Below are 15,223 nucleotides of genomic sequence, written 5' to 3' on the forward strand. Positions count from 1 at the left end.
GAAAACAATATAACAGATCTAAGACTAAACATACCTTAGTCACATCTATGAATACAAATGGGGTTAGCATCCCAACTAAGAGAAAAATATTTTTAAGTTAAATCATAAGGCAAAACATAATTCTCTCTACCTGAAACACAACTAGAACAGAATATTGAAAATGAAAAGATGAGTAAAGCTGTATTAAGGGAGAGTGCACCAGAAGAAAGCAAAGGTCATGGTTTTTTTCTTTTTTTTGGCGGAGTTTCGCTCTTGTTGCCCAGGCTGGAATGCAATGGCGCGATCTCGGCTCACCACAACCTCTGCCTCCCAAGTTCAAGTGATTCTCCTGTCTCAGGTTCCCAAGTAGCTGGGATTAGAGGCATGCACCACCACACCGGCTAATTTTGTCTTTTTAGTACAGACGGGGTTTCTCCATGTTGGTCAGGCTGGTCTCAAACTCCCGACCTCAGGTAATGCACGCACCTTGGCCTACTAAAGTGGTGGGATTACAAGCATGAGCCACTGTGACCGGCCAGGTCATGGCTTTAATTTAATTTTAGGTAAATTGGAGTTCAGGCCAAAAAAAAAAAAAGATTAAGTAAGACCAATAAAAACACCTTGTAATGCTAAAGGGTATGATTCACAGTGAAGATATAATGATATAATAGTTATAAATAACTGAGTACCAAATAACAATGCAATGGCACTCATAAACTTGGAATTACAGGATACAAAAGGAGAAAGAAACAGAATCACGCTGGTTTCATTCCTGACTCTATAGTCTATGACAAATCAAATTAATAAAAATGAAATCAATAATATAGAACTCTCATATAATCTATGTTAAACATGATCGTTCATATATATATATACATATTCTCTACACATAGAGCATATTCTTATTTCAAGAATATTCAAGAATAGAACATTCAGGAAAACTGACCACATATGAGGCCACGAAAAAAACCTCAATACATTCCAGAACATAGAAACAGCATAGGCAGCCTTCTTTGGTCACAATGCAATAAAATGATAAATTAATTTTTAAAAACAGATAACAAAAATTCCTTTTCACCTGAACATCTTTAAAGTTTATCCTATATGAATTTAAAGAAATTCTTCTTAACTCTTGGATCAAAATATAATATTAACCTAAATCACAGGACTTCTAGAAAATAAAAATAACAAAAACAATACATTTTCCACACCTTGGAATCTATGAGATAGTGTTAAGGTAGTAGTGGAAGATAAATTCATAGGTTTAAATACTTAAATAAATAATAAATAAAAACCAAATGAACCAAGCATCTAGCTTAGAAAAAGAACAATAAAATAAACTGAAGGGATGTAGAAAGAATGAATTAATAAAAATAAAAACAGAACTTTCTAACTTAGTGAATTAGAAAACAGAAAAAAAAGAAGTAAACTGAATCTTTGGGGAAAAGAATTAAAGAATAGAAAAGCACTAGCTAACTTAATACAGAAAAAAAAAGTAGAAAATGCAAATGTACAAAATAAGAAAGACTAAGAGAAAACCACGAAACTATATTAAATTAAAACAACCATAAGGAAATACTTTGGTCAACTCCATGAAAGTAAAATTTGAAAACTTGGATGAAAAATACAATTTTCTTGGAAAATATAATTTAGCAAAATGGATCCCAAAGAAAAAAAATCAAAGCATTCTGATTCTCATACAACAAAGAGAAAAAGTTGCCAAAGAGTTCCCTCAGAAATGCCCAACTAGTGTCACAGGGGCATTCTAAGATATCTTTAAAGAGCAGGTAGTACTCAATTCTGTGTAAATTGTTCTAGCATGTAGAAAAGAAGGAACATGCTTGAATTATTTTATGAAATATAACATTGATTTCAGAACCTGAGATGGCACACTTCAACCAAGAAAACTACAAATGCATCTCATGTATTAATGCAAAAATCATAAGAAACAAATAACTTTCAAAAAATTACATGGGAATAATGTGGGGACAATTTTGTGACCACTGTTTAGAAAATGCAATCTGACACAACTTCGAGTATGGACCAGTTGCCTCAGGTGAACCCTGGGTGCTGGACCTGGAATCAGCCAATGGCCGTGTTCCTCTCCCAGATAGCTGCCCAACACCACACCCTTAATGCACATTCCTTCGTGGGTTCATTCTTCAGCAGGCAGCACAAGGCCATTCACTGCTCCTACTGCCTCTTTTTATATAGTATCAGAAAGTTCCAGAGAGACTGGGCACAGTGGCTCACGCCTGTAATCCCAGCACTCTGGGAGGCCGAGGCAGGTGGATCACCCGAGGTCAGGAGTTCAAGACCAACCTGGTCAACATGGTGAAACACCATCTCTACTAAAAATACAAAAATTAGCTGGGCATGGTGGTGCATACCTATAATCCTAGCTACTCGGGAGGCTGAGGCAGGAGAATCACTTGAACCCAGGAGGCAGAGGTTGCACACTGAGCCGTGATCGCACCACTGCACTCTAGCCTGGGTGACAGAGGAAGACTCCGTCTCAAAAAAAAAAAAAAAAAAGAAAGAAACTACCAGAGAGTTCCAGAACCTTCCTTCAAAACTGGGAGATTCCTGGCCCTTATTCAAGAGGTCCCCCCTATGACTAGCTGCCTCCTCAGATAAACAACATTTCCAGTGATCTTTAATGGATGATTATGGGGTTCTGTGATGCCCTTCGGTGTAACACATTTGTGTATTTTTTGTTTGTTTTGCAGAGATGGGGTCTTGCTATGTGGACTAGGCTGGTCTCAAACTCCTGGGCTCAAGAGATTCTCCTGCCTTGGGCTCCCAAAGTGCTGAGATTATAGGCATGAGCCACCACACCCAGCCCATATTTGTGTTTTAATTGTGGACTTCCTTCACTTTTAGCTCCTTTAAATAAAAGATTCAGGCATTAGAGGTATTGTGTCCTGTTAAGAGGAAGGACATTGGGGTGGGGGGCCTAGTAAGCATTTGGCGTCTCCCATATTACACAGTGTAAGTGACTTTTGATGGCTTCAATAGGCAGCCTAGCCTATTAGTACTGCAGCTGGGGACCCACATGGTATCTGGTATTTCTACCACAAGTTAGCTGAGGTATTTGTAAAATCAGCATATTCTTAGGTGCATGTTGTCTAAATCATGACTGCCAAGCTCCCAGGAGGAACTCGACTATCCTGTATTTCCAGGATTTCTCCCTTTTTCGGCTGCACCCGGTTGAGCACTTGCTTGTAAGCCCAGGTTTCCATGCCTAGAACTAATGGTTACCCCAAGGCCCTCTCTTTGCCCTGCAACTGGATGGAATGTATCCCATGAACTCTAAAGGGAACCCAGCAGACAGAACATAGCAGTCACTACCTTTAGAAGAAGCATCCTCAATTAGTTCTCTTTCAGGCTGGAGTTACTCCCGGGCTGGGAGTATCCAGCTTCAGGGAAGGGCTGTCAACCCTGACCCCTGACCCCTCAGGCACGGGGTTGGCTTCTGCAGACATTCCCAGGGCACCCCCTTCTGCCAAGCTTGGGTGTGGACAAGTGTAATTAATCGGGTCCTCACCACCAAAGCTTGTTCAGATTTGTCAGTTGGTTGTTTTTTAAATTATTCTGTTTGTCATTCTTCTCACTGAGGCAGCGGGCTGTTTATCCTACAACACACAGGCAAAGGTGAATCGTGTTAAATGCAGGGAGGAATTAGGGGAGAAGGATTTGGTTTGATGGGGAATTTTCAGAGGAAACGAAAATCAAGTTTATAGATAAAAACAAGGTAGGAAGCAAAGGATTGGGAGATTTTCAGCCTGTATTACAAAGAATCGACTCTTGCTTCTTCCTAGATGCTGAGTCTACATGGATTAGAAGAGAGACGCTCACTTCATCCAGGACACAAAGAGAGCAAGCTTGCAGAGCACTTGCCCAGGCCTGCATCCGCCTTCCCTGCCTTCCCTCGGATGGGGCTGGGTGATTGCAGCGGCCTTCACCACATTGGGTAGAAGCAGGGAGACATGCAAATTAGAAAACCAGGAGATCGTCACAGCAGATCAGTTTTCAAAATCTGGGCTGGACATAAACTGGAGTACTTCTAATCTGATCAGGACACCTGGGGCTGTGGCAGGAAGCAAATTCTATTTTTCAAAAGACAGGAGAATTGCTCTGAGTATCGTGATGGCTCGCATCATCTTTTCCACCAAAATTCCAAGACGCCTTAGCGTTGCTGGATATGTATTGTAAGCCCTACAGCCTTCATCTCATCCAGACACTCGAGATAAAGAAATGTTAGCCGGAGTTTAAACCATAAGAACAGATATGACTGAAATGGACCTCATTTCACCGGAGATTCCCAAGTCAGATTCACAAACACATGGGGCGTCCTGGTGGATAAACCTTTCCCCGGAAGACACATTTGTGAAGAGTCTTGGCCCCCAGTGTTGAGACTGATTCGGCGTCCTGAAATAACAACCCGCTGCCGAGGCACTCCACTCGGAAGGGCGTGAGAGCCTGACCTCTGAGGCTGAAATTACAGACCACCCTGTCAGGATGCACGGAGCATGTCGAAGAGGACGAGGCTGGTGCCCGACAGTTGACGCAGCCCGCCTGTTGGCCACAGGGAGCCACTGAAGGCAGATCTCACGTCACGATCAGTGGCCTCTGCACGTCTCTGTGAGGCTGGGGAAATGTCAGGGACTGAGGGACTCCCACTTCATCTGCAAGGGGAACAGGGAAAGGCCATCAGTACCTTCACAAGAACAGAAAAGCTTCCAAAGCAAACTGGAGCATGTCACTTGGTGCGACGCACATGCCGCACGGCCAGCCACCGCCACTCCCCAATTTCTCCTTTGCTGGGAAAGCCCTAGTTTTGTCATGGTGTCCACACATCTCCTCTAAGGCTCAGAGGCAAACCTCAGCATTTTCAGCCAGTTCTAATGGCTCCATTCCCCCAGGCAGTGATTTATCTAGGGACGTGGTTGTGCCCATTTCTGGCCATATGCAAAATAAGAGGGAATGGGGAGGGAGTTCTAAGAAATGTTTTCTGGTTTATAAAGAGTTAGGAGGCTGGGCATGGTGGCTCACGCCTGTAATCCCAGCACTTTTGGAGGCCGAGGCGGGCAGATCACGAGGCAAGAGATCCAGACCATCCCGGCCAACATGGTGAAACCCCGTCTCTACTAAAAATACAAAAATTAGCTGGGCGTGGTGGTGCGCGCCTGTAGTCCCAGCTACTCGGGAGGCTGAGGCAGGGGAATCGCCTGAACCTGGGAGGCGGAGGTTGCAGTGGGCCACGATAGTGCCATTGCACTCCAGCCTGGACAACAAGAGCGAAACTCTGTCTCAAAAAAAAAAAAAAAGAAAGAAAGAAAGAAAAAGAAATATTAAGCGATTCCACATTGAATTCCTAATACAAAATAAAAGAGAAAAAAATACTAGGCAATATGAGAGTAAAAAGCAACAACCATTTGTATTACATATATTATTTATCTTATGGAAATGGTCCTGCAAGTTAGATATTAATTTCTTTGGTTTCTATCTGAACAAACTCAAGTTCAAAGCAATTAAGCAATGCTCCCAATCTCACCCAGCCTAAGCTCATCTCTTTCCACTGTAGGCTCGTGCAGATATTTAGGTGGAGAGGAAACTGCACCACAAGTAAGACCTAAAACAGGCTTATCATTTGTTTTCCTTCTGGCAACAGGAAAAAGAAAATCTGTCCAGATTTCCAAATCTGTCCTCTGAATGGGTCTGTGCAAACATCAGGACCTAAAATAGATCTTCCAATAAATAGCACAAAGTAGGGGGGACAGGAGGAAGAAGTACACCGGCCATATAAAATAATACTGTCCTCTGTTCCAGGAGCATTACATATATCATGTCATCTCCATCAAAGCAGGCATTATGATGTTCATTTTCTAAATAAGGAAATGAGAAAGTTAATTCATTTCCCTAAGGTCACAGAGCTCTGAGTAACTGAACTGGATTGGAAGCCCTCTCTGTGTGAGGCCAAGGCCTGAGCTGCTTTTCCCTTAATTGCAGGGTACATGTGTGAGTGTGCATACATATGCACATGTGTGAGTGTGCATACATATGCACGTGTGTGTGTGTGCACTTGTGTGCATATGCGTGTACGGTTCCAATTTTATGAGTTTGTAAACTTTCTGTATCAAGTAGAATATACCCATCTGTCAGAGTAAGACAGGAGTAAAAATTGAATTAAATGAAAAGTAGGACTGCTAAGCAGGAGACCAAATTCTCAGCACCAAATCTCAGGCCCAACACAGGCACCTCCCACCTACCACTGCCCACTCTGGGGCAGCCCAGAAACCCTGAGTTCATCAGGACAGACCCTGGGAGACAGAGCACAGAACTGTAACCTGGGCTGGCGGAAACAACTCCTCCTCTGCCGATCCCCCAGCAAGGAGCCGGCTGCCCTCACCCCCACTTGCATTAGCTAACTTTTTCAAAAATGAATCAGAGTTTCAGATGAAGCTCCATAAAACCGTGGGCTGCTCTGAGACTGCAAATTGCTAGCAGATGTCTTTTTGGTTCGAGTACAGTCACATTCCTGCCAAGCATAAAAATGAGAGGTTAGAGAACAGATCATTTTATTATCACATAAGGAAAACCAGCCAATTAAGCCTTCATGTTTTTCAGGTATATGTGGCATGGATTTTGAAATCTCCTTGCAAAAGGACCATATCTTTGATAGCTAAAAAAGGCCTTGGCTCTTCAAGGTGAAGTCCTTTGCATCTGAATTTTATTCATTTGAAAACACAAAATAGGGTGTGTATTTCTTTCTTTCTTTTTTTTGAGACAAAGTCTCGCTCTGTCGCCCAGGCTGGAGTGCAGTGGCTCGATCTCGGCTCACTGCAGCATCCACCTCCTGAGTTCAAGCGGTTCTCCTGCCTCAGCTTCCCTAGTAGCTGGGACTACAGGCATCTGCCACCGTGCCCGGCTAATTATTTTCAGTAGAGACAGGGTCTCACCATGTTGGCCAGGCTGATCGTGAACTCCCAACCTCAGGTCATCTGCCCCTACCTTGGCCTCCCAAAGTGCTGGGATTACAGGGGTGAGCCACCACTCCCAGCCAAGGGTGTGTGTTTCTACATTTATTACCTATCAGGGCAGAGTGATTTTCTTTTAAGCTTTATTTAAACATGCTACAGGCCACTCTAACATACTTTATTATTAAAATTTCATCAGAGCCTGAACCATTTTCTTATTTGTTCTTGTTCTATAATCATATGTAACAAATTATAGGATTTCAGCTGAAAGGTGATGTGTGTGTATATATGTATATGCTATAATTTTTCTTTTTGTGGGTGGTGGGTGGGGCTTTATGGTGCATATTTTTACTTATCAAGCTTAGAGTGTGTTTGTCACAAAATTTCCATTTTAAGAGTACTTACTAGTCTGATTAAACACTTGTAAAAATGTCAATGGTCAATAACCTTTTAAATGAATCAGCTGAGCTTGACTAGGATGAGCTTAATTTAGCAATTAGCCTGGCCAAATTGTCTGTTATTATACAAGAAAAGTTTATAATAAAGTACATGCCTCAGTATAATAACTTTTGCCAGGCACAGTAAATCAAAAACCATACGTCTGCTGAGTCAGCTCCAACTGCAGGGACGGCAGCTAAAAATGTCTCTGACTTACAATGAAATTTGTATCCTCAATGTTTAACATTAAACCTAAAGACAAGGCCAGGTGCCGTGGCTCACACCTGTAATCCCAGCATTTTGGGAGGCTGAGGCCGGGGGATCACGAGGTCAGGAGATCGAGACCATCCTGGCTAACACGGTGAAACCCCCGTCTCTACTAAAAATACAAAAAATAAGCCAGAAGTGGTGGCGGGCGCCCATAGTCCCAGCTACTCGGGCGGCAAAGGCAGGAGAATGGTGTGAACCTGGGAGGCAGAGCTTTCAGTGAGCCGAGATCGTGCCACTGCACTCCAGCCTGGGCTACACAGCGAGACTCCATCTCAAAAAAAAAAAAAAAAAAAAAACCTAAAGACAAACACTGCAAGTTCAAGAATACCAGCAGAGTTATATTTTCTCAGTGCAGTTCAAATCCATGAATCTGCTAGCTTCTTTGTGGTAGGAGACTATGAAGCTCATAGGGGGAAAAAACTGGCCATATTTCTGAATAGTGAATTCAGCTAGAAACCAGCAGGCCTATAACACTTGTTTTTGTTTGGCTACACATGGCCCTGAGCCACAAAACATTGCAGAGCAGCCCGGGAGCTGCTACAAATGAACTCTGCTGCCCACCCCCTGGCAACCCCATGACATTTTCATCCTGAGGCTGTAAGTGTTTTGATGCTTCTCTGGTCTTGATCATACAACCCTTCATCACTCAGAGCTGAATCTCTTAGATGAAATGGTTTTCATTTTGTTTTTCTTTTTGTTTTGAGACGAAGTTTTGCTTGTCGCCCAGGCTGGAGTGCAGTAGTGCCATCTCGGCTCACTGCAATCTCTGCCTCCTGGGTTCAAGCAATTCTCCTGCCTAAGCCTCCCTAGTAGCTGGGATTACAGGTGCCTGCCACCACGCCCAGCTAATTTTTGTATTTTTAGTAGAGACAGGATTTCACCATGTTGGCCAGGCTGGTCTTGAACTCCTGACCTCAAGTGATCCAATCGCCTCAGCCTCCCAAATTGCTGGGATTATAGGTGTGAGCCACCATTCCCAGCCGATGAAGTGGTTTTCTGGTCCTTTTTTTTGAGACTGACTTTCACTCTGTCGCCCAGGCTGGAGTGCAGTGGTGCAATCTTGGCTCATTGCAACCTTTGTCTCCTGGGTTCAAGCAATTATCCTGCCTCAGCCTCCCAGGTAGCTGGGATTACAGGTGTGCGGCACCACACCTGGCTAATTTTTGTGTTTTTCGTAGAGACGGGGTTTCACCATGTTGGTGAGGCTGGTCTCGAACTCCTGACCTCAGGTGATCTGCCCACCTCAGCCTCCCAAATGCTGGGATTACAGGCGTGGGCCACCGTACCTGGCTGGTTTTCTAGACCTTTAAGCCAGTTGCAGCACAGCCCACTCTCCAAATTTACAAAGCACACTCCTCCCACCCCCGCCCACCCGCCCCCCCCCCCCACCCGCCCCCCCCCCCCGTCAGATGGATGCATTTACCCTTAGCTCTGCCACCAAGACCTAAGCAGAGAGCAGGGAGCCTATAATCAATCAACCAATCAGTCAATCAGTCAATCTGTGTTTACGGAGCGTCTGCCAAGTGTCCAGCCCTTGCTCTCTAAATACCATCTCTGGAGATATAAAATGAGTGAGCAGAATGGAAGTCCAAAGCATCACTATGAAACAGAAAACAGTATCTGCTGACTTTCCATCAACAGCCTAACTCAAAAATAGCACAAGGCCGGGCACAGTGCCTCACACCTGTAATCCCAGCACTTTGGGACCCGAGGCAGGATGATCCCTTGAGCCCAGGAGTTCGAGACCAGCCTGGGCAACATGGTGAGACCCCGTCTCTACAAGAAACTTAAAAATTAGCCAGGCGTGGTGGTGCATGTTGGTATTCCCAGCTACCCGGGAGGCTGAGGTGGGAGGTTTACTTGAGTCGGGGAGGTTGAGGTGGCATTGAGCCAAGATTACGCCACTGCACTCCAGCCTGAGTGACAGAGCAAGACCATGTCTCAACAAACAAATAAAAAAACAAAAATAGTACAAAATAGTGAGTGCAGTATGAGGAGGACATTCTGGGAAAGTTAAGATGTTCAGAGGTGAATGTGAGTGGACAGTGTGGTGATGCAAGCAGCCCCATCCTGGAATTAGTGGGATGAGGCATCTGGCATCTGCTGTGGGAACTCTCCCTCTGCAGAAAGGACTGCCTGGCCTTGCCCTTCCTGGCCTCTCCAGCTCTCCCATCACCACCAGAGCCCCAAATCCCCCACTCCAGGCCTGCCCCAGCCAGAAGGGACTTGGTGAGCTCTGCCCCATGCCACAAAGTGGTAGGATCCACATAATGTCTGAATGTGAACCATGGCAAAGAGGCATGAAAAATACAAGATCCTAGGAAAGGGAATGGTTGAGAAGGCTACCTTGATGCTTCCGCTTCAAAAGTTTCTGTCCGGCCGGACAAGGTGGTTCACGCCTGTAATCCCAGCCCTTGGGAGGCTGAGGTGGGCAGATCACCTGAGGTCAGGAGTCCGAGATCAGCCTGGCCCACATGGTGAAACCCTGTCTCTACTAAAAATACAAAAAATTAGCTGGGCATGGTGGCAGGTGCCTGTAATCCAGGCTACTTGGGAGGCTGAGGCAGGAGAATTGCTTGAACCCAGGAGGGGGAGGTTGCAGTGAGCTGAGATCACGCCATTGCACTCCAGCCTGGGCAACAAGAGTGAAACCCTGTCTCAAAAACAAAAAAAAAAAGTTTATTTCCAGCTCTTTGAAATAACACACAGCTCTATTTTATTGTTGAGTTGTAAGAGTTCTTTATATATTCAGGATACAAGCCCCTTATTGGATATGTGATTTGTAGACATTTTCTCTGATTCTGTGGGTTGTGTGGGTTGTTATTTCCCAAGGGAGGCTGTTTGGTTGACATTTAATTAACTCCTTAGACAGAATCCTAGGGGTAGTGTTAGACATTGTCATCGTCAGCCATAGTCTGGAAGTCTAGAATGTCGGCTTCTCATTAGTGCATCTTTGTCCCTGACAGCCGACCACCTGCCTCATGTGAGGGATTGGCTTGTGGAATGATTTGGAAAAGAGAAAGAACAACTCATTTCTCTTGTTAATTAAAAATTATCATCCGTAGCTTCATCTTAATGCATTTTCAAATTAGCCTCCATATGGCCAAATTACTCTAGCATGATAAAGAAACTCACATGGTTGGCCAAGCGTGATGACTGATGCCTGTAGTCCCAGCACTTTGGGAGGCTGAGGAGAGAGGATTGCTTGAGCCTAGGAGTTTGAGACCAGCTTGTGCAACATAGTAAGATCCGGTCTCTACAAAAAATTTTAAAATTAGACAGGCATGGAGGCTGAGGCAGGAGGTTCATGTGAGCTCCCAAGTTCTAGGCTGTGGGGAGCTATGATTGTACCAGTACACTCCAGCCAGGGTGACAGAGCAAAGCCCTGTTTTGGGAAGGAAAGGAAACGAAGGGAAGGGGAGGGAAGGGGAGGGGAAGGGAGGGGAGGGGAGGGAAGCCGGGCACGGGGGCTCATGCCTGTGATCCCACCACTTGGGGAGGATGAGGCGAGCAGATCACGAGGTCAGGAGTTCGAGACCAGCCTGGCCAACATGGTGAAACCTCTTCTCTACTAAAAATACAAAAAAATTAGCCGGGCATGGTGCCACATGCCTGTAATCCCAGCTCCTCAGGAGGCTGAGGCAGGAGAATCTCTTGAACCCAGGAGGCAGAGGTTGCAGTGAGATGAGATCATGCCACTGCACTCCAGCCTGGGCAACAGAGCAAGACTCCATCTAAAAATAAATAAATAAATGAAAGAAAGAAAGAAGGAAAGAAAGAAAGAGAAAGAAAGAGAGGAGGAGAGGGGAGGGAGAGGGAAAGAGAGCAAAGGAAGGAAGGAAGGAAGGAAGGAAGGAAGGAAGGAAGGAAGGATGGATGGAGAAAGAAAGAAAAGCAAAGAAAGAAAAAAGAAATGCAGGCCAGGTGTGGTGGCTAATGCCTGTAATTCCAGCACTTTGGGAGGCAGAGGTGGGCAGGTCACTTAAGGTCAGGAGTTCCAGACCAGCCTGGCCAACATGGTGAAACCCCATCTCTACTAAAAATACAAAAAGTAACTGGGCATGGTGGCACACACCTGTAATCCCAGCTACTCAGGAGGCTGAGGCAGGAGAATCACTTGAACCTGGGAGGCAGAGGTTGCAGTGAGCTGAGATCGTGCCACTACATTCCAGTCTGGGCAACAGAGTGAGAACCCATCTTGAAAAAAAAAAAAAAAGAGAGAGAGAGAGAGAGAGAGATAAATGCACATAGAAAATGTTAGCTGGCCACCTAAGCCGATTTTATTGATCATTTTGAGTAGATGATCATGTAGTTCACATGGTAACCATTTCCTCAAGCATCTCATAAGTTGAACCAAAAAGCAATACATTATCTACAGAAATAGTACTAACATTTTCAGGAAAGTCACCTACTAATGATCTAATGATGTCTGCTTGCCTCCTTATGCCAGGCTGAAAACTTGTTTTACTTTTCCTGATAAAAAATATGCAGGAAAAGTCTTCATTTCCTGAAGGTCTTCTCGCCAGTCTGCCATGAACACTCTGAGATGCAAACGACTCTGTGCCCAGAAGAAGCAAATCTCACAACTAGTGGTTCCCTGGCCAGTCACATTCTCTTTTTCTTTCTTTCTTTCTTTTTTTTTTTTTTGAGACAGAGTCTCGCTGTTGCCCAGGCTGGAGTGCAATGGTGCGATCTCGGCTCACTGCAACCTCCACCTCCTGGGTTCAAGTGATTCTCCTGCTTCAGCCTCCTGAGTAGCTGGGATTACAGGTGCGCACCACCACATCCGGCTAATTTTTTGTATTTAGTAGAGATGGGGTTTCACCATGTTGGCCAGGCTGCTCTTGAACTCCTGGACCTCAAGTGATCCGCCCACCTTGGCCTCCCAAAGTGCTGGGATTACAGGCATGAGCCACAGTGCCTGGCCTACATTCTTTTTTCTAATTGCCAAAAACAATTGTATGTACTTATGGACAAACAACAATTGTATGTACTTATGGTGTACAAGATGATGTTTGCATATATGAACACATGGTGGAATGACTAAAGCTAATTAACATATCAATTTCCTCACATACTTATCTTTTTATGGTGAGAACATTTAAAATCTACTCTATTAGCTATTTCAAATATATAATACATTGTCATTAACTATAATAATTAGTGCTTTTTGAAAAAGACAAAAGATTATGAGTCGTTTCTACACATTCTTTTTTTTTTTTTTTTTAGAGAGTGAGTCTCACTGTGTCGCCCAGGCTGGAGTGCAGTGGCACAATCTCGGCTCACTGCAACCTCTGCCTCCTGGGTTTAAGCGATTCTCCTGCCTCAGCCTCCTGAGTAGCTGGGATTATAGGCATGCACCACCATGCCTGGCTAATTTTTTTGTATTTTCAGTAGAGGTGGGGTTTCCCCATGTTGGTCAGGATGGTCTCGAACTCCTGACCTTGTGATCCACCCATCTCGGCCTCCCAAAGTGCTGGGATTACAGGGGTGAGCAACTGCGCCCAGCCCTACACATTCTTTTCCATTCTAAAAACTAGTTATTCATGGAAACAGGATACAACTGATTCTTAGGAACACGAATTACATCAGCATGGAAAAGTGTCTAGTAAGATGTGGGTAATGATGGAAGCCAAAGTGGAAGCTCAAGTAATCTCCATCTGAAGCAACTGTAAAACCAGAAAGGAAGCCCTCAGAATTTTGGGGGTGCTCCATGCAAAAAGCAAAGATAGGTCTTAGATGGTGAATTTATTTCTATATTAACATTTGATCACCTCACAAGGAGAGAAGATGTGGAAGAAGTACCTTTTAAAGAAATTCAGAAGATATGAAGTGAGTTATCCCCTACTCCAACTGAATGCCAGGATTCCTACACACAGTGAAAGAGCTTTTACTCAGCAGGCTTATTATGTAATATGTGTTCAGAGTTCAGATTCTTAAGGGCAGAACGTAACAACTTCAGCCTATAAAGGTAGGTCAGAAATTGCTTTTTTTTTTTTTTTTTTTAGAGACAGGGTCTCACTTTGTCACCCAGGCTGGAGTGCAATGGTGTGATCTTGGCTCACTGCACCCTCGACCTCCTGGGCTCAAGTGATCCTCCCACCTCAGCTTCCTTCAAGCTGGGCCTACAGGCACTAGCCACCATGCCTGGCTAGTTTTTAATTTTTTGTAGAGACAGGGTCTCACCATGTTACCTAGGCTGGTCTTGAACTCCTGGCCTAAAGCAATTCTCATGCCTTGGCTTCCCAAAATGTTGGGATTACAGGAGTGAGTCACCATACCTGGCCAGAAGTTGCATTTGATGGCAGAGAGAGATACTACCTGGAAATCATCATATCCACACAACAAGTAGCATCTTTAATTTAAATGTAAATGTGATTTCTTTGCAGCTTGGTTCAATTCCATTCAGGCCCTGAAACTGTTAGTCAAAATCAACTTGTTGAGCAGAGTTACATGTTCTGAGTTTCAATACTGCAATGTAAGAAAGAAAACAAGGACAGATTGATGATTTCAGGACAGCATCTGAGTTTACTCATTCCACATTAGAGCTGTGTGAAGATTGCCTCGGAGTGGCACAGTGTTGATGTTTCTGCCTGTGTTTAATTTCTTGATTTCACGAACAGCTTGGATTTTTTTTAAAGTGCTTCTGACTCATTCACATGTGGTTGCCTGACATAAGCCCACACACCATTTGCTCACAAATATGTCAATGACTGAATCCACCAAGAGCCTCGACCTGAGAAACCTGGGCCTAGATTACTGAGAGGATCTGTGGCTGCTTGTATATAGTCTTTCTCCCCATCAGCTCCATGATTCAGTATCATAGTTAATATGGAATTCTCCCTTGTTAACATGAAAATCGCTTTGGCAAAGTGTTATGTTTGTATGCAGAGCTTGGAGTTAATGTCAGGAATTTCATTTTCTTTTTTTTTTATTTTTATTTATTTATTTATTTATTTATTTTTAGAGAGATGGGGTCTTGTTATGTTGGCCAGGCTTGTCTTGAACTCTGGACCTCAAACAATCCTCCTACCTCAGCCTCCCCAAGTGCTGAGACGACAACCGTGAGCCACCGCACCTGGCCTTCTTTTTCTTCTAAATGCTGAAGTTAGATTCTACAGGGACCTAAAGGGAGTGTTAGTCCAAAGTCTTCTTTGCCCCTCAAAGATACTCTTTAAAAATCCAGTTCTTATCCTCGTAACTCATAAATACCAGACAGACGCAAGGTGCAGGAAGTCATGCCCTCTGCATCAGTGGATTCACATCCATGGATTCAGCCAACGACCAATCAAAAATATTAGGGAAAGGACTGGGTGCGGTGGCTCACACCTGTAATCCTAACACTTTGGAAGGCCAAAGTAGGCGGATCACCTGAGGTCAGGATTTCAAGACCAGCTTGGTCAACATGGTAAACCCCCATCTCTACTAAAAATACAAAAATTAGCCAGGCATGGTGGCGCATGCCTGTAGTCCCAGCTACTCGAGAAGCTAAGGCAGGACAATCACTTGAACCTGGGAGGAGGAGGTTGCAGTGAGCTGAGACTGCGCCACTGCTA

Source organism: Homo sapiens, chromosome 10 (assembly GCF_000001405.40).
Source record: "Homo sapiens chromosome 10, GRCh38.p14 Primary Assembly".
Classification (NCBI taxonomy): domain Eukaryota; kingdom Metazoa; phylum Chordata; class Mammalia; order Primates; family Hominidae; genus Homo; species Homo sapiens.